Here is an 18,801-nt window from a genome sequence, read left to right as displayed (position 1 = left end):
GATGTCTTGTCAAGCTGAATATCCTCCAGATCTGACTTCTTTCCTCTACTGGTGCTCAATACAAGATGCTTTACTTTGTCACAAGAAGCATATAATAAACTCAAAGCTGCAAGGATATATCTGTAAGGGAAATTTTTTCTTGATCTGGCTGGCCTTGAACATAATCACCAGAAAGACTTTTTGTGCTCAGATATTATGGTTGTAAATGAGGATTTTTTTCCTCACATAAGAATGTATCTAGTCCATTATAAAATGTTATCAAGCAAGTTGTGTCACTGTTATTTTGTGCTAGTGAGTTACCCAGGTTAATTACATATTACTACAAAGTCATCTTCTTTATAGCTGCCTTACATTTTAAAACTATTTAATGGTATATATCATCTTATCTTGCAGCAATATTAGAAATTCATTTGCTAGATCTGTCTCTGTCTCTCTCCCCCTTGCTCAACTTCTAGACAGTAGATTGCTGCTTGGTACCCTGCCTGAGGATGTGCAGTGGCAAAGCCAAGCTTTGTTTTTGTTGGTATGGTCAGTTAGCTAGTCAGTCAATGGTCACTGAGGGCCCACTGTATACCCATCACTGCTCTAGGTTCTGAGACTAACTGGAGAGATACAATCTAGACCTTCAAGGCATTCATCTATGGCAAAGACATGAAACAGATGTCATATTGAGCAGGAGCTGTCTCAAGTGACCAACACTTAAGTGACTAATCTGTGGTCTCCATTCACTCCTTAAATGTAAAGATGGCCAGGTGCAGTGGCTCACACCTGTAATCCCAGCACTTTGGGGGCCAAGGTGGGAGGATCACTTGAGCCTAAGAGTTCAAGACCAGCCTGAGCAACATAATGAGACCCTGTCTCTACAAAAACATTTAAAAATTAGCTAAGTGTGGTGATGCACTCCTGTAGTTTCAGCTACTCAGGCTGAGGTGGGAGAACTGTTTAAGCCTGAGAGGTCAAAGTTGCAGTGACTGTGATTGTGCCACTGCATTCCAGCCTGGGCGACAGAGGGAGACTCTGTCTCAAAAAATAAAAATAAAAATAAAAATAATAAATAAATAAATAAATGAGGCTGGGCGCGGTGGCTCACGCCTGTAATCCCAGCACTTTGGGAGGCCGAGGCAGGCAGATCATGAGGTCAGGAGCTCGAGACCAGCCTAGCCAACATAGTGAAATCCAGTCTCTACTAAAAGATACAAAAAAAAAAAATAGTCAGGAGTGGTGGCGGGCTCCTGTAATCCCAGCTACTCAGGAGGCCGAGGCAGGAGAATTGCTTGAACCCTGGAGGCAGAGATTGTGGTGAGCCAAGATGGAGCCATTGCACTCCAGCCCAGACAACACTGTGAGACTCTGTCTCAAAATAAATAAGTAAATAAGTAAATAAATAAATAATTGTAAAGATGTAAGACCCTCAATCTGCTGAGCCTCACTGCTAGTAGTAGGCTACTCTAGGACACCTTCATGCCCTTCCTGCCACCAGTGGAGCTGTCTGCTCACCAAGAATCAGTGTTTGTTCCCAAGCCTATTTGTGCTACTTCTTCCTATTATTGTAATTACATAATTTAATTAAGCTTACTTAAAGTAATGAAATATGAGTGCAAAAGAGATGTTGTTTCTGTAAGATCTAAGGTGAATGTTTAGAAAAGGCTTTAAAAATGAGTTACTAAAAAATGTGCTATCAACTTAGGCATGAGAGAGCCAACCACAAAACATCATTAAATCTGGAAAATCTGATTGCCCCACAAATGTCTTTAAGATCTTGCTCCACTTTAAAGAACCCGGGACAAAAAATGATTGGGAAAGCTTCAGGGGTGTGACTTATGTAAGAAACGAGACTCAGAAGTCTAATAGGAAGCCTTCGACTCCAAAGATGGGGCCTTGGCCCAACATCAAAAACCTGAGGCATGTTTTAAATTAAAATAAAAGCTTAAGGTATGTTTCCATCATTTGGTATGATTCCTGCCTTAACTAACTTGTTCAACTAAATCGTTAGTTATTAATTGAATTGGGTATAAGGGTCTCTACTGTTGTTAACCAAATAATACGTTAAAAGCTACAATACAGGGTGTGAAGGCAAACAAGATGATCTCTTACAGGGGAAGAGAGGGCTTAGGACAGCCTCCATGGGGGCAGGTGAGTCCTGAGTTGGGTGCCAAAGTATAGAGTAGGAGTTCCTAGGGAAATAAGGAAAGCCAGTCACTTCCCAGGGGAGAAATCAGTATAGTCACATAACTCAGTGTTCTAGACTTCGTAAACCAACCCAGAGGCATGATAGCATAAGTTTGACTCTTTAGTCTGCCATTACTGTGTGTTCTTAAACAAGTCTTCTATGTCTCGGGGTCTGCATCTGAAAGATGAGGATAATAGCAGTACCCACCTCAAGGGGCTGCTGTGAAGATTACATAAGATGACCTCTAATTAATCATACATTAATAAAAATGAGTGCAAAATTATTTTAAGGCTTTTCAGGAGCAAGGGAGTAGGAATGCTGATTCTGAGATGAAGAAAATGTTTTATACTTCTAAAATCTCTTGCCAAGATCATTAAGAAGTAGGAGATTGAAGAGAAAGAAAGGTGGTGTGTAAGCACCAGGGACCTGGAGATATGTTGGCCCCTGAGGCAAGCACTCTCAACAACCAATACTCAACCAGCACAGTCCAGCCATCACTTCCAACTAGCTCACTCAGTTCCCCCAAAGATCCTGTAAAATAACTATTTCCACTATCTCCATTTTACCCATGTAGAAACTAGGTCTCATAGAAGTTAAACACTTCATTCAAGGTTGCGCAGACAATAAACAGGGAGCAAGGACTAGAACCCAGGTCGCCTGATTCCAAATTCTGTGGACTTCTCAATAGCCCAGACTGCCTTTCTCATGAGCTGTTCACTTCACAAACCCTGAGCTGTCATGTCTGGTATTATATTTTTTCATTTGTTAAAACTACTGGTAGGACAGGATGCTGCAACTAATAGCTAAAATGAGGATTGGAGATTATCAAGGATTCCAATTATCCTGCCTATCTCTGACCTCCATTACTAAGGATAAACAGAAGCCAGCTCCAGCAATTTTCTGAAATTTTCGTTAATTTTAAATAAATTTATACAATGTCATCTTTCCCTTTACCCAAAATTAAAATGTCCTTGTCTTTTCAGTTTCTCATTACAGATAAATCCCTGTATGTCTTTGAGACTGTCTGTTGTTCTTCCCTGGAACCTTTGTATTTCTGCTTTGTTTTCTTTGAAATGAAAGGACCCAATGCTGATTTCTGATTTTAAGGTGAATCGTAACATCAGTGTATATCATTAAAATGTTTTATTGTAATTACAGAAATAGTCAATGGCAAATTATGCACACTATATTATTTTCTGCATTATTCTTTATCCCATTCTCAAAGTTAATACAGCCTATTATATCTCATTCATTCTTCTGACTGCTGGTGCACAGTGAGCAGATGTCTCCATTGAGCAATCCACAATGAATCCAAGATCTTTTTCCTGAGCACTTACAAGTAGAGTAATTCAGAGCCCATCAGTGAGTATGAGCTGTTTCAATTGTTCCTTCCAGTGTACATTAGTTTGCACTTGTCTACATAAAATTTCAAAGAATCATAGATATTGAAGATGGAAAAGACCAGTTAGTTTATCAAACCTGCCAACTCTGCTGGCAAAAGCAAGCAAAGGAAGTAATCCTATCAGTTCATACTATTTTAATGATGCTTATTAATAATAATTACAATTACTGCTTATATTACATGGTGTCTTTCATCCCAAAATCAGTTAAGATGCTTTTTATTTTTAAGGCAGCATTTCTTTTCCAAAAGGGAACTAGGGCACAGACATCAATGTTACCATACTCAAAGCAAATCCAATGAAGCCAAGAATTCAATTCAGTTGAGTTCAATAAACATCTCTGAGCACAACCACTTGTAAGGAGAGGAACTCTGCTGGATGCTCTTGGAGATGCAGAGGTGAACAGGACCTAAATCCTTACCCTCTGGTTTACTCTCTATTAAGGGATTTGTGATAGTGAACACATATAGCTAATATGATCATTCTAAGCAAAGTAGAATATAGCATGGATGCAAGAGTCCTCTGGCTCTAGGAATTGAAAAAGACCGTGCAGAATGTGACATTTGAGCCAGTCCTTGAAATAAGAATGAGTCTAATGTCCATCTGCAGAGTTTGGGAAAAGAGAAGCTAAGTAAAGAACCAAACCAAAACAGAATAAGAGAGCTTAGCTGAGGTTCTACCTTACAGTGTAAAGACCAGTCAGTATGCACTTTGTCACAGCAAGTGAACAAAGTCCATAATGCAGAAGATGTCTACTAGGCCCTCTTTAAACAGGATTCGGATGTAGAAACTCAATATAACTGAACAACCTGAAACAACCACCAGAATATACTGACTACTAATCATGAATATACTTATGGAGACAAGGCAGAATGTTTTAAATTAGGACTGTCTCCAAAAAAACCACCAAATCCAGAAAGCCTGGTATTGTATGTAAAAAAAAAAAAATTGGAAATTCCCAACTGCAGACTAAAATCTCAAAGAGTAGATGAATAAATGACCCATCTGTCAGTACCTTAGTACTCCTTTGTACTGCACAAGAACTCACACTAGTGTCCCATATGGTCACACCAGGGATTTATAGGCCCTTGTTAGATTGCTGTTCAACTCTAGAACCCAAACCTAGAAAGCGTAGAACAGGGTATTTCATTGTGTGATTCCTTCAACAGAACTCTGGGTAAGTACAGACTAGGAAAATGCCAATATAGTCTTATGGTTAGTAAGAGTGGATATTTCTCTGCTTTCACTCAAGGAAACTAATCTTTAAAAGCATTATTATCTGTTAATCTTTTCGTTTGTTTGTTTGTTTTATTTTTTGAGACAGAGTTTCACTCTTTTTGCCCAGGCTGGAGTGCAATGGTGCGATCTCAGCTCACTGCAACCTCTGCCTCCTGGGTTCAAGTGATTCTCCTGCCTCAGTCTCCCGAGTAGCTGGGATTACAGGCATGCGCCACCACGCCTGGCTAATTTTGTATTTTTTAGTAGAGACAGGGTTTCCATGTTGGTCAGGGTGGTCTCGAACTCCTGACCTCAGTTGTTCCACCCGCCTTGGCCTCCCAAAGTGCTAAGATTACAGGTGTGAGCCACTGCACCTGGCCTCAATCTATTATTCAGTCATTACAATGCTACTTTATATCACCCTTTATAAAACCACTGGTGTGAAGAAAAACTAAACTATAGAAGACGTCTAGTACTTCCACATTCATCCCTCAAGGACCATTGCAAATGTCATCTCCTTCATGAAGTGTTCCCCAATTCCTTCCACCATTATTCCCTTCACCACCAAATTAATTGTTCTCTCCCGTGACTACCACAGTTCTTTTGATCCATTGGTATATGCTTTATAATTAGTTCTGTGAATATCTGTCTCTCTCCACCAGGATGAAAGCACCTTAAAGGTAGGGATTCAAGCCTCAGTCATCTTGCACCCCACAATGCCAAGCTAATTTTCATTGCCTGACATACAACAGATATTTATCATATTTGTTAAATCACTTCCTCAGGTCTCAGAGACCTTATTTTGACATATTTAAATTATTAAAACTTTTAAAAGTCTATACCTTAGTCCATTTTCTGCTGCTGTAACAGGATACCACAGACTGCGTCATTTATAAAGAAAAGAAATTTATTTGCTAGAGTCTGGAAAGTCCAAGATTAAGGGGCCACATCTTGTGAGGGTCACTCCATAGCAGAAGGCATCACATGGTGAGTGAACATGTGGGCATGGCAGAGGGAAAATGGGGGCCAAATTCATCCTTTTATCGGGAGCCCACTCCCTTGATAACTAACCCACTCCCAAGATAACAGTGCTAATCCATTCATGAGGATGAAGCCCTTATGACCTCTCCGCCTCTTAAAGGTCTTACCTGTTAATACTGTCATAATGGCAATTAAATTTGAACATAAGTTATGGAGGGAACAGCTGAACCGTAACAGTACCCTATCCAAAACTTATCCTTGACTAACCATGGCACTCAGAGTCAGAGACCCTAATAGGTGTGTGCCTGCCACTATCCTTCATTCAATCAGCATGTACCTTTGGCTGTGCACTGAAGAAGTACTGCCCTTAACAAGACCTGAGCCTTGACTCAGTCACTTAGCAATTATATGACTTTGGAAATCCTTTGCGGTCAGACTGACCCAGCTTTAGATAGACTTACACTCTAGTTGTCACTTACTAATTGGATGATGTTGGGCAAGTTATACTCTCTAGACCGCAGTGTCCTCAACTATGAGATGAAGGTATTAATAGCACCTATCGCAGTTTGAATGAGACAATGCCTGGAAGAGTTTAGCTCAGTGTGTGGCACATAGCAAATACTCAATTATTATTATTGTCTCCTCATTTATAAAGTAGAAATAATAATACAAGTCCCTCAGGATTGTTATAAGGAATAAATGATACAAAAAGTGGAATTTTACCCAGCACATTGTTCTGTCAACATTTCCTTCCTCCTTATGTTCTAGAATAATTGCTACAGCTGATTGAGTGCCTTTTACATATCAGGTAATGTGTATCAGTCACTTTAAATATATGATCCCATCTAATTTAATTCTTAAGACAAGCTATTTAAATAACAATTATTATCCCTATTTTACAGATGATGAACTGAGTTTCCGAGAGAATAAATAACCAGCCCAAGGTCACATAACCAGTTCAGGACAGACTGTTCCAGAAGTTACAAATAAGTTGGATCAAGTACAGAACAGGGAAGCATAGGAAGAAAGCACAGGAAGAAAGCACAGGCTTTGAAGCTCCCTATGGAGTTTAATGCTTCTATTTATCCTCATCCTGGTCCCCAATTCCAGTAGTATGCTTGCTTTTTAAACTAGCCTGTGGGATCCATGTCAATATATTCTCACTCTCACTATTCACCTATTCTTGCTTTTTGATAAATACATGAAATGACGTCACTCATCTAAGAGCTAACTCTAATACACTTCCCTCTCCCAATTTTTTTTGTTATAAATTTGCCATTGTTCTCATGGTCTTTTTATCTCAGTTATACTAATTGTCACCCATGAAAATTTTAATTTTTAGTAATCTAGTTAGCCTTAATTTCCTAGACTTCCATAATGGGCTTATATTAGCTGTGTCAAATATATTCATTGCCAGTTACGTGGAAGGGAAGATGGCCCTTCCATGGTTCGTACTAAAAGACAGTCCAGTTTTATACCAAGTGACAACCGCTCTACCCCTACCCATCTCCCTTTACCACAACATCCTAGACTAGAGGTGACCTTCTGGCTCACGGACAGCTCCAACCTTAAGCTGGCTAAGAACCTATAAAGCATGGCAGTGAAAAGATGAGTTGGGTTAACTGGATCCTTTCTTGGGAATCTAAATTAGGGAATTCTGAGAGAAGGAAGCAATTATCAGGGAAAATTGCAGCTGAAAGAATGTAAGGAAAGAAACCATGAGGAAAAGCCATGAAGTGGGAAGAGTAGAGAGAGTAGATTCTGGACATGGGGCTCTTGACAAGTCAAAGAAGCAACAATTAGGGGTGTAATTAAAAACCTATGAGATTGAGAGTGGTTACTCAGAAAAAAGCTAGAAGATCAAAGCAGTGAGTAGCAAAAGAGCCTGAGGAAAGCAAACACAGAGGGAGAGAATCAGACTGATATGAAAGAGAAGGTTGTCCCCAGAGCTGCCTCAGCACCTAAAAGGTTTCCGAGTCTTGATTGCAGGCTCTATCTGTGAGCATCTTCACGATGAATGTCACTTTTCTAGAGGAAACCTGAGTGAGTCAGTCCTTTGCAACCAGAAGCCCTTTTCTAGAGGGTTTAGCACTTAAAACCTTTTTTAGAAAATGAAAGTTAAATTACAGTGACTCCTTCTTTGTTTCAGATGGTCACAACTGCAGATTCCTGGAAGTCAGGCATTCACCTTCTATTCTCTGATTGTCCAGACTTCCTCAAAGATCTCTGATTTTTCCTGTTTCTGAGCTAGAAGAAACTTCTCTTCTTTAGCTACTACCTAAATATTAATAAATAGCAGGTAAGATAGGCAAACTTAACTAACTCATTTATCATCTGTGATTCTTTGACGTAAAAAATAAAGTTGTAGGAAATCACAAGGTCCAAGAGTGGGAAACATGAAAAACAAAAGCTTTAGGGGGAAAAAGCTGGGCATAAGAAAGTAGAGGAGGCCGAGTGCAGTGGCTCATGCCTGTAATCCCAGCACTTTGGGAGGTTGAGGTGGGTGGATCGCTTGAGGTCAGGAGTTCAAGACCAGCCTGGCCAACACGGCAAAACTCTGTCTCTACTAAATATACAAAAATTAGCTGGGTGTCATGGTGCACACCTGTAATCCCAGCTACTTGGAAGGCTGAGGCAGGAGAATCGCTTGAACCCAGGAGACAGAGGTTGCAGTGAGCCGAGATCTCACCACGGCACTCCAGCCTAGGCAACAGAGCAAAACTCAGTCAAAAAAAAAAAAAAAAAGAAAGAAAGAAAAGGAGAGAATTTGAGAGTATACGAAATGCTTTATTATGACTGTATATTTTATTCTTTGCAACAGGAGAGAAAACGGATACCCTATGAGAAATTTCCTTTCTTTAATGCAACATAAGGTTGCAATTTAAGATTCTTCTTGTCAATTCTTTTTGTATTTATACTTTTTTTTTGAGACAGGGTCTCACTATCTCACCCAGGCTGGTCTCAAGCAATTCTCCCACCTCAGCCTCTGGATGTATATTTAATTAAATTTATTAATTAGCTCTATTTCAATGTGAACTGTTTATTCATTCACCAACATTTATTGATTGCCTGTTCTGTTTCACCCTATGCTAAGGATTAGGGGTACAAAAACTACAAACAATCCCAATCTTTGAGGGGCCACAGCCCAGAGCAGGAGGCAGATGATTCTAGTGCAGTATGATAAGAGCCACATAAGTGCATACCCAGTCTAGGAGGTGGTAGAGCAGGAATGACATGGTTTGGGTCCAGGAAACTTCCCAGAAGAAATGCCCAGGATAAATCTTGAAAGGAGCAGCTGGAGCTGGCTTGGAAAAGATAAGGCAAAAAGACACTCCAGGCAGAGACAGCAACGTGGGCACTGGCACAGGAGTTAAAGTCCTGAATTCTTTAGACTATGGTTGCCTTAAACACTCCAGTGTGTCATGGATGTCTATACAGTAAACCACCAATCCAAGCATCCTTAGAGCAAGTATGACCTTAACCTTCACTCAAAATGACCCTTGTCCACAGACCCCCAGCAAAATTTCTCTCCTCAAACATATACTAACTACACAAGCCCTAAGGATAACAGAAAGTCCAACATATCTAGTATTATCCCAGATAAAAAGCTACTCCAAGGTTCATAAGTTTCTCTTCTGAGCAAATGACAGCTTGGTTTCCTTCAAATGCCATTAGTGGTAGTTTTGAATTTGCGTATTTTTCAGGAAAAAGAGTGATTGTGATTTTCATGGAATTACTAAAGCTCTCCAAAGTTTTAAACTGAAGGCATTTTGAATCTTTAAGAATACTTTTGATAACTACTTAGATCATTAAAAATTAGATTGGCAACAATAATATGTAGAATATGCTTTTCTTTTCCTTTATAATGTTTAGCATTCATCGGTAACCAAACGCTTCACAAATTTCTACAGAGTACATTCTTAGGTTCTAAAAGTCTTACTGGCATGTCCACTTCACTAAACTATTTCTTTTTTCCCGTCTTTAAAGTTAACAATAAATTTCTCTTATGCATCTACTTATTATTATTGTTATGACATTAAGCAAGATATTCAATGTCAGGAATTTTAAGCAACCCAGAATAAAGGAACATTGTAAGTCAAAAAATTATTACATACAGTGTGAAAAATCCTCTTTCCCAGCTAGAAAGTAATTATATCTTACATACTATTTTTTTCCAGATGAGAAAACGTAAAACTAATTAAAATAGAGTCAGTGGTTTACTGTCAAAGCAACCTTGAACTGGTTTCCCTTGCTCCAAGCAAGATGATATTCCTAAAACATGGCAGAAAATTTACTCTGGAGTTCTAAAAATTGCATTAAGAGCCATTGTGTGAAATTTTTAAATTATATCTTTTCAAAGGTTTAACCAATTTCAAATGAATAGTGCTTGGAATTACTCATAGAGATGACATGATTAATGAAAACATCATTCATTCTCTACCCTCTGTCTCACCCTCAATCACATTTCAGAAGCAGCTTATTACTCATATCTTAAAGGCATATATAATATATATGCACACACATATTTTATACACACATACACATACGTAACATATCAGCAAGTCTTCAATAATCTCTTTCAGGAGTTGCATGTCATAAAGATTGTCCTGTCATCCCCAAAAGCATAGTGTTAAACGCATAGCATGTATCATCAGCACTATAGTTGCTTACACTGTTTCTTTGCATCCTCAAAACAACATGTGAGCACAATATAAAAAAAAACACGATTTTTATGGAAAAGCCTGTGAGAACAGCAAAGCTAAGAGATGTACCCAGTGCCCGTCCATTTTAAATTCATACTTATACAGAAAAACATGCATTCAAAACAGCCTATTCTTTCAGAAATGGTTCTTTGGTCTCTTGCACATGTGTCTGCATGCTGACTGGCAATTTCTCCTAAAGGATATAAATTAAAATCTCACTTTTTCCCATTGAGCTTTTCACTTCAAAATGTCAACATAGTCGCTATGATAGATATAGACGTATAGGAATGAATCCTATATATCCACAAAACCCACTACCCTTTCCCCTTTGATAACTATAGTTCTTGAATTGGGCTTCATATAAGGTGACCAAAGACCAGATTCATGAAGTATCCTATTCACAGAATCAGAAAAATACTGAATAGCAGAGCTGGAAGGAAGCTTAAAGATGATTTAGTCCAATTCCCTCATTCTGAGAGGTCTAGAGAAGTAGAATGGGGATTTCTAGGCCACAGACTGGCAAAACCAAAGCTAGAAGCTGGTCCATTGCACTTTGTAGAAAACATGTCATTATTAAACTAGAACTAGGATCCCTTTTTTCGATGAACACTCTAAATTCTAGTGTTTTAAAAAAAGGGGGGGGATGGCAAAACTTAGGCAACTATTATTATTTATTATTTTTTTTTTTTGGAGTCTTACTCTGTCACCCAGGCTGGAGTACAGTGGCGGGATCTCAGCTTACTGCAAGCTCCTCCTCCTGGGTTCACACCATTCTCCTGCCTCAGCCTCCGGAGTAGCTGGGACTACAGGCGCCCGCCACCAAGCCCGGCTAATTTTTTTTGTATTTTTAGTAGAGACGGGGTTTCACCGTTTTAGCCAGGATGGTCTCGATCTCCTGACCTCGTGATCCGCCCGCCTCGGCCTCCCAAAGTGCTGGGATTACAGGATTAAGCCACCGTGCCTGGCCCAAGGCAATTATTTTAATGCCAAGTCAACACGTTACCTTTAATCTGAATGTTGTGGTGATTGCCTCTGTTCTCTGCTTCTCATCTCTTGCAGAGATGGCCTAACAAGGAGATTTAATTAGCTAGCAGTTTCACCCCTCATTTTCTTGTGAGTCCTTGGGTGAGTCACATAACCTTACTCAAATATAACAGAAGGATAACAATACTGTTTAATTCACAGAGCTGTTATAATAGAGGACTAAGCAGATATTTTAAAGTGCATTAAAATGTCAAGGTTTAAAAGGAATGGAGAAAATTTCCATTGTACATCTTATATTTATGTCTCTTGGGAGTAGAAAAACTACAAAATCCCCTTCAGTAAAGCTATATGCAAAAGCCGTATTTGTAACTAGTGAGTTTTGGGAATGTCCTGCATGTTGTGTTGGTTTTACTTTCAGCAGGACTAGAGACTCTAGAATTTTTATTTATGCAGAGTACCTACACATTGCACCTTTAAAATGTCATAACAGTCTTCAGTTTTCTTCCCCCAGAGTTAAAGATGACCTGTTATCACTGCTGTCTGGCTCTCCAGTTCTGTTAAATCTTTCCTCTGACCAGATCCTCGTTTTACTCACTCCTCAACTCCCCACTTGGATTACTCCTCTTCTTAGATTACTCTTCCAATGCCAACTCAGACTGCCTCCCCAAGAGGCAGCTCCCCGGTGAGTAACACACTTGGGGTGGGGGAGAGTATGTCGGAAGTGATCAAAGACTTGCAAATGAAGTGCATACCGCTCAGAGGAGGAGGCGTTGGCCACAGGTGCCAAATGCAGACCACAGCAAGCTGGCAAGCTCCGGTTTAGGTTGTTGCTACAATGTGGGCTGGGCACATCCCTGTGTAACAATGCTGGGTATGTAGAAATGACTCTTATTTTTCTCATGACACGACTTAACCACACATTATGTGTGGGTTCCCAAAGTATAGGCATCGAACCTATGATTTATGTGTGGGTGGGCATGTCTGTCTTCTAAAAAAACTATTAAATTAATCTTAAAAAAAAAGATGGATTGACAACACTGAAGACAACACTCCACTGAGTACTAGAGAAAGACACGATGTAGAAAATGGTGATGCCAACATTAACACAAATCTGCCTCCGTGGAAATGACTGGCATTTCAACCAGACACTATATTCTTTCCAAGAAAGGCCACAAATAGGAGGAAGAGAGAGAGAGAGAGAAAAAACATTCTATCTTTGATATCACTAAACCAGTCAGATTTTAATAGCACAACCAGAGATCTGCTAAAAAGGTATTTAATTTTTTTTTCCCTTTATGAGTCCTCACTGGGAGGGGTAGGATATGTGTCCTTGCTGGGAGGGGTAGGAAAGGTCATTTTATTATATTGTCTTTGGAATTCCAAGATGACAGTGATAATGGTGGAGTCTCTTGCAGCTGAGTGTTTAGTACCAGCCCTGGAAGAACGATGGAATCAGTAAAACGAGATCAGAGTCTCACTAACCACGGTCAACATGAATTATCCAGGTAACAATGTTAGGCTGCTCACTACAAGAGTGAAGTTACTTCATGGCACAAGTGTAGGGGATTAGCAGATATTATTTGTTGGTCTGTGTGCTAAGAAAAAGAGAGAGAGTGAAGGATGGTGAGAGAGGGAAGGAGAATTTTCTGCTCTTTGGAATTGCTGGGCTCCCTGTGAATAGGAATGGCACCAGTGGAATGGAGGTTGGCTGGGGCAAGGGGAACTCAGCCACACAGAGAAAGAGAACAGTTAGCTTATGTCTAGTTACACACTTTGAGTCAATAACTTATGCAACTCTATGCACTCCGTCATAATACTTGCATGCTATTCAACAAGTATCATCAATATTATGATTACTGGTTTGTGTGACCATGTGGTTAATGTTGATCATACCAACAAGACTGTAAGTTCCCTGAGGGCAGGGGTATATCTGCCTTTCTCTTCCTATATCCTCAGTGCCCAGTATTTGCCTGCTGCAGAGTAAAGAGCCCCAAAATATAAGTTGAATGAACAAATGAATACATGAATGAATTTATGCAAATTCATGTTGTGGACCCATGTTTGCATATTTGTACCATTTGATGACATGAGCAGGGCAGAGTGTGCTGCTGTAATCCAGCACAGCAAGCAGAACTACAAAAGGTGCCTCTCTTTGGTTGGCCAAGTGCTGGAGTTTGTAAAATCAAATGTGGGTGTGAGGTAAGGGTACCCGGCATGAAGACCCTTGGGGTACTCTGAACCCCAGGGTGTGGTCTAGATGTTACCACAGCTTTGTTGCACCCGCCTCAGATCAGTGCTTATCTCTCTTGGACCTTAACATCCTCATCTATAACATGATGGAATAACACTTCTTTTTCCTTGCAGTTCTTAAATTCTAACATTTTAGGAAGATATCTGGACCCTGAAATCTTGTCAGGAACAACCATGGTAAGATCTCTGACTATAAAGTAGAAAACAACTAAGTTTTCAGATATATATATGCATAAAATACAGCTTTATTTTAATAAAACCTTAAATGTAGGGGGACCTTCTTGCCAGATCCAGGCCAACTAATGGCTTTCCTTCAGCTTTTCCCATACTCAGAAGTCAGGTTTCCAGGCCTCTGTGAAAAGCACATAAATATTCTCAGCCAGGGCTGGCCCTTTGCTTCAATCTCCAGCTATCACAGGGAGTCAGTCTGATAAACATTTGCAGTTAGAATGGAAGGAGGCACAGCCTCCTAGACTTTTACAGATTTTTTTGGACAAGTAGCAGAGTCACAGAAAACCTAGAATTAGGTAAGAAAGCAGAACTCCTCCAGAGAATTCAGAGAGAGCTACAACTGAGAGCCTTTAAACAATCAATGTGTAGGAACAGAAGAAAGGAAATCCACAATTCAAGAAAATAAGCAGACATTTTTTTTCCTCAAAAAAAATTGTTAAGATGAATGTTAGGCACTGATTTTAGCCCTCTGTTCCATCCCTCAAGATGTCACTTGAAAAAGCAAAAGGTTTTATCCACAAAACCACCGGCGAGTAAACAGCCTTCACATTCTTAGCCTCGTACACACACAGTAAGATATTTACTCTCTGATAAACAGCAATTGTAAATAAATCTCATTTAATCTCTAAAAGCCACAATAAAAATCTTTAACCTCCAAGGTAGAGTTTACAGATGCGTCTGCATGCCCTGCCAGCCCCAGAAAACACAAGGTCTTGAATAAACTACTATACCAGGAGGCACATTTTCTCGCTCAAGCATCTTACATTGACCTTCTTTAAAACAAAAATACGTACAAGGAGGAGGAAAGGGGAAAACCCAACCCCTCCCACCCCATTCTCTGTACAAATCGGCCAATAAATCTAACGAAAAGACACAAGAGAAAAAGGACAGAAGCCAACAGGTGGAACAAGGCTTTTTGTTTCCTTAGAAATGCTCAGACACTTGATCTGTGCTCCTCAGTCTATTTGTCTCAGGGTGTCTTTAATGATGTTTTTATTACCCTGATGATGATGATCAAGAATAATGATAACACTTCTACTCTGTGATTCCACAGCATCTCTAGCTGACGATTTCTCCACGCGTTTCAGACACAGTGATCTGTTCTGTTTCGCTCAATCCCAGGGAGGCATACAGCATCCCTGATCAGCAACCTTGATTTTACAGATGGGGAAATTGAGGCACGGGGCACCCCACAACTCAACAGTCTCTACGACCAGAGGAATCCCTGAGACTGGAAAAGTTTCTGGATCGTCTTGTGGCAGAGTTCTCTTGCTCTCCCTTCTTGCCTGCCATGCCGCTCCTCCTCGGAGAGTCTGGGCTGGGGTGGTAAGGATCGGGGTGCCTCCCCTTCACAGCGAGGCACGCCAGGGCAGTGTGTGGGAAGTCCACACGCACACACAGACCCACGGGCACACTGGCACACACAAAGCTCGATGCAATCTCTGCAGTCACTCGGCGGAGCCCTGGCCGGCCCTTGCTCAGCCTGAGAATGCACAGCTCGGAGCCTGCAAGGCCTCCCTGGGCTCTGGGCTGGGGTTTCCCTGAACCAAGGCTCTGCCCTTCTCTCCCTCTTTTCCAGGCTTCCCTCTCTCGCGCTCCCTCTCTCTCTCTCTTTTCCCTCCCACCCTCACACCCTCCTCCCAGCCCTCTCCATCCACCCCTTCTCCCCCACCAACCCAGAGGCACAGATCGTGTTACTGGGGTTCCCTCGAAAGAGGGGCCATCCCCAGTCCTGGATGCCTTGAAAGACTTCCAGGGGCAACGCAGGAGCTCCAATCGCAGGACCCCAGCGCTCCTCCAGAGCAGCGCAGGAATGAGACCCCCACTTCCAGGCACAGGCGAACAAGCCTGCCACCGAAGAAGGAATTGTTAGGGCTCTTACCTTTTTTATGAGGAGAAATTCTGGAGAATCATTTCAGAAACTGAGGGGGGAAAGTGAATGAAGACAAAAAAGACCCTTTTCCCGCAATCCCTGGCCTCCTGGTATCAAGACACCAGGACAACATCAAAGCAACTTAGGGGGAACACTTTAGGGGCCTATTGTCTGCTCTGGTCTGATCTGTTTTTCTTCTGACTCCCCCTCTTGCTGCGGTGACACTTGGTACGGCCCAGGCATTCATGCCAAGTAGCTTTCACACATGGAAGCTTGTCTCAAGCAATTGCTGACAAGCCACAAACAAGACATTCTCCCTCCCTTCTCTGCGCCCCCCCACTCCTCCCCCCTCCACCTTTTCCTCCTCCCCTCTTGTCTCCCCTCCTCCTTTCTTCTGAATGCAAACTAAAACTCTCCAGTGACAGGCAGGCTCGCAGGCTTGGCCTAGCTGCGCACGCAGGCACACACACACACACACACACACACACACACACACACACACACACTCTCTCTCTCTCTCTCTCTCTCTCTCTCTCTCTCTCTCTCTCTCTCTCTCTCTCTCTCCTCTCTCTCTCTCTCTCTCTTCTCTCTCTCTCTCTTCTCTCTCTCTCTCAAGCAGCTCAGCTAGTTGCTGCTGCACTGGTGGAGTTAAGAGACAGGAAAAAGCCCAGGCTGAGTTGGGGGCAGGGAGAAAAAGAGAGGGAGAGCGAGAGCAGAGAGCCGCCTCCTGTGTCCTAGTAAAATGGCAGAAGAGAGGTGAGTCCTTTGGAAGAAAAGCAGTGGCCACACACGTGTGCACACATACACAGACTCAGGCCATCTCAGCGCCAGGAAAAGTGAAATAAATGACCCGACAAAGGAAAAAGCAAAGTCCCATTAGCTGGAGATTGGGGGAGTAGGGAGATAAGAGGGTGAGTGGCCCCAGGACTGGGGTTTCTGTTGAGTGGTTAGGTGATTTTTCTTCTTTACAATAGAGAAAAATTTGTTTCCTAAGGATCTAGCCTTCTTTCACTGCATAATTGAGCATGGACTTGAGCTACTAGTTAAAATAAAATCATGAAATGTGTAAATGTGTGAGTAAACTTAACTGTAGGTTCAACTTGTACCCAAGATATTTTTAAAGTGAAGCTTTTTTTATTTTTTTTTATTTTTTATTTTAGCAGAAACCCTAGAGAGCAGTAGCAAGGAGAGTAGTAACAAGTAGTGTAAACTAGGAGAGCTGTGAAGTGTGATGCTAAAGTTACTGATTGCCAGGCTGCTGGAATTTATGGAGGGTGGGCCTGAGAGTTGGAGGAGGGGAGGGTGAGTGTGCTGTTTTCTAGGAATAAGAGGGGAATGAGGTAGGATAATGAATATGGCAAGAAACAAGCAGGAATTTGATTGGTGTGGAGGGAGGAGGTGGGGGCTGTAAAGGAGTGGAGAGAGAGAGAGAGAGAGAGAGAGAGAGAGAGAAACAACACTGCATTAAAAAAAGAAGAAAAATGGAAGCCCAGAAAGATTGAAACATGCAGAGTAAATGAGATGGTAAAAGAAGGCATAAAATGTGAGCAAAAAGGAGCACAAAGGATGTGCAAATTTGCAGATGGCATGAAATCAGGAGGGCCAATTGAGATCAGGAAGAAGAATGACAGGATGATTATATGACATTCATATTTTTAGATACTGTGGACTCACAGACCTAACAAGGTCTCCTCTGCCTAGGCCAGAAGAGTTATCCCTATGCAACAGGATCTGAATGGAAGCTTAGCTCCTAACTGCTGCTGAATCAGTTCTGTACTTTTTCATGAAGATTGTTTAGACTCTATTCCTCAGAATCTTCCTTTACAAAATGGAAATTATGAGAACACACATCACTCATTCCTTCATAGGTATGCAGTAAAGAATAAATTATGACTTCTTTCATACTTAACACCAGCTAAATGAGGTGTCACTACCTAAAACTCACCACATCAAAGACACAGACTTGTTCCTGTTATTTTCCCCCTTAATTTGCTCCTCCATTATCCCTGATCCCTGAACTGTCTGTCCCGACTCCCATTAATGATGATGATGTGGTAATATAATAATAATAATAATAACCTTTTTTTAAGTATTTACTTGATTCTTAGCATTTTCCCACTCATTTGTATCATGAAGTAATTTTTGTTATGATCATTTCCATTTACAGATGATAGAAAAACGAGGCACAGAGAGGTTAAGCAACTTGTCTGAGGTCACACAGCAAGGCAGAGGTAGAGCTGAAATCCAACTGAGGCCTGTGTGATTCTAAAGCCCCAGCGTTTACCCGCCATATTATGCCTTCTCACTGGAGTAGTCCAGGTACTCCATGGCACTTCAAGTCCAGTCAGCCATATAAGTACACTGTTTTTTCTGTACCCCAGGGTTGGGTTTGGATCCTTTCATTTTGAGCCAGGGGAACTTCTGACCTCCCCTTAATAGGCTACTGACTCACTGTCCACTTCTAAGTGGTGGTGACTCACTATACACAATGAGGCCTCCCAGGCAAGAATTGCATAAAGGGTCGACTTAACCTTCAATGACTGCACTATTTTCAGATTGCTAGGCAATAGAGAAAGGCAGCTAAGACCAGAAAAGCTTCCCTTTCTTAAGTATAAAAAATTTTTTTAAATAAAAAAGCAAACTAAAAAGGCCCATAGATATTGATGATAATGGTGATGACAGCAACTAACATTTATTAAGAATTTCCATATATTAAACAACCCCATACAGTGTAAACTATCAGTGTGTCTATTTTCTAGATGAAGGAGCTGAGGCACAGAAGTGAAGGAGCGTGTTAAGGTAATCCAGCCAGGAAGTAGTGGCTGAGATATGGCCCCAGGTGGTCTGCCTTTCTAGAGACCAGGATCCCCACCACTATGCTGTACTGCTAAGGCAGCAAAAAGACTTGTTCCAATTGTTAGAGTGAAAATACAAATGCTCAATGAGAGAAAGAAGAAAGAGGCAATCATGATCCTAACACTTTCACATGCA

At 41.1% G+C, this 18,801-nt stretch overlaps 1 protein-coding gene across 1 annotated transcript in view, besides 5 other annotated features; it reads right to left on the bottom strand.

Moving 5' to 3' along the window:
* Nucleotides 1–15,993, bottom strand: part of BCL9 (BCL9 transcription coactivator) — an 84,716-nt gene extending 68,723 nt beyond the window's left edge. Inside the window, exon 1 of the mRNA NM_004326.4 lies at nt 15,820–15,993. The gene's annotated coding sequence lies outside the window, so the exon portion shown is untranslated. The remainder of the gene's footprint in view (nt 1–15,819) is intronic.
* Nucleotides 11,886–12,404: an enhancer, noted in NCBI's record as "NANOG hESC enhancer chr1:147016860-147017378 (GRCh37/hg19 assembly coordinates)". NCBI's record gives its function as "activates a minimal SCP1, AML or CMV promoter by ChIP-STARR-seq in naive H9 embryonic stem cells {active_cell/tissue: H9 hESC(naive)}" and the evidence as "EXISTENCE:reporter gene assay evidence [ECO:0000049][PMID:30033119]".
* Nucleotides 15,568–16,322: an enhancer, noted in NCBI's record as "NANOG-H3K27ac-H3K4me1 hESC enhancer chr1:147012942-147013696 (GRCh37/hg19 assembly coordinates)". NCBI's record gives its function as "activates a minimal SCP1, AML or CMV promoter by ChIP-STARR-seq in naive H9 embryonic stem cells {active_cell/tissue: H9 hESC(naive)}" and the evidence as "EXISTENCE:reporter gene assay evidence [ECO:0000049][PMID:30033119]".
* Nucleotides 15,568–16,335: a biological region, named in NCBI's record as "NANOG-H3K27ac-H3K4me1 hESC enhancer GRCh37_chr1:147012942-147013696".
* Nucleotides 15,948–16,007: an enhancer, noted in NCBI's record as "active region_1632". NCBI's record gives its function as "activates an Ori minimal core promoter by ATAC-STARR-seq in GM12878 lymphoblastoid cells {active_cell/tissue: GM12878}" and the evidence as "EXISTENCE:reporter gene assay evidence [ECO:0000049][PMID:35858748]".
* Nucleotides 16,041–16,335: an enhancer, noted in NCBI's record as "tiled region #5908; K562 Activating non-DNase unmatched - State 8:EnhW". NCBI's record gives its function as "activates a minimal TATA promoter and a strong SV40 promoter by Sharpr-MPRA in K562 cells {active_cell/tissue: K562}" and the evidence as "EXISTENCE:reporter gene assay evidence [ECO:0000049][PMID:27701403]".

The sequence above is a fragment of the Homo sapiens genome, chromosome 1, assembly GCF_000001405.40.
Source record: "Homo sapiens chromosome 1, GRCh38.p14 Primary Assembly".
Taxonomy (NCBI): domain Eukaryota; kingdom Metazoa; phylum Chordata; class Mammalia; order Primates; family Hominidae; genus Homo; species Homo sapiens.
This window is presented reverse-complemented; position numbering and strand designations above follow the sequence as displayed.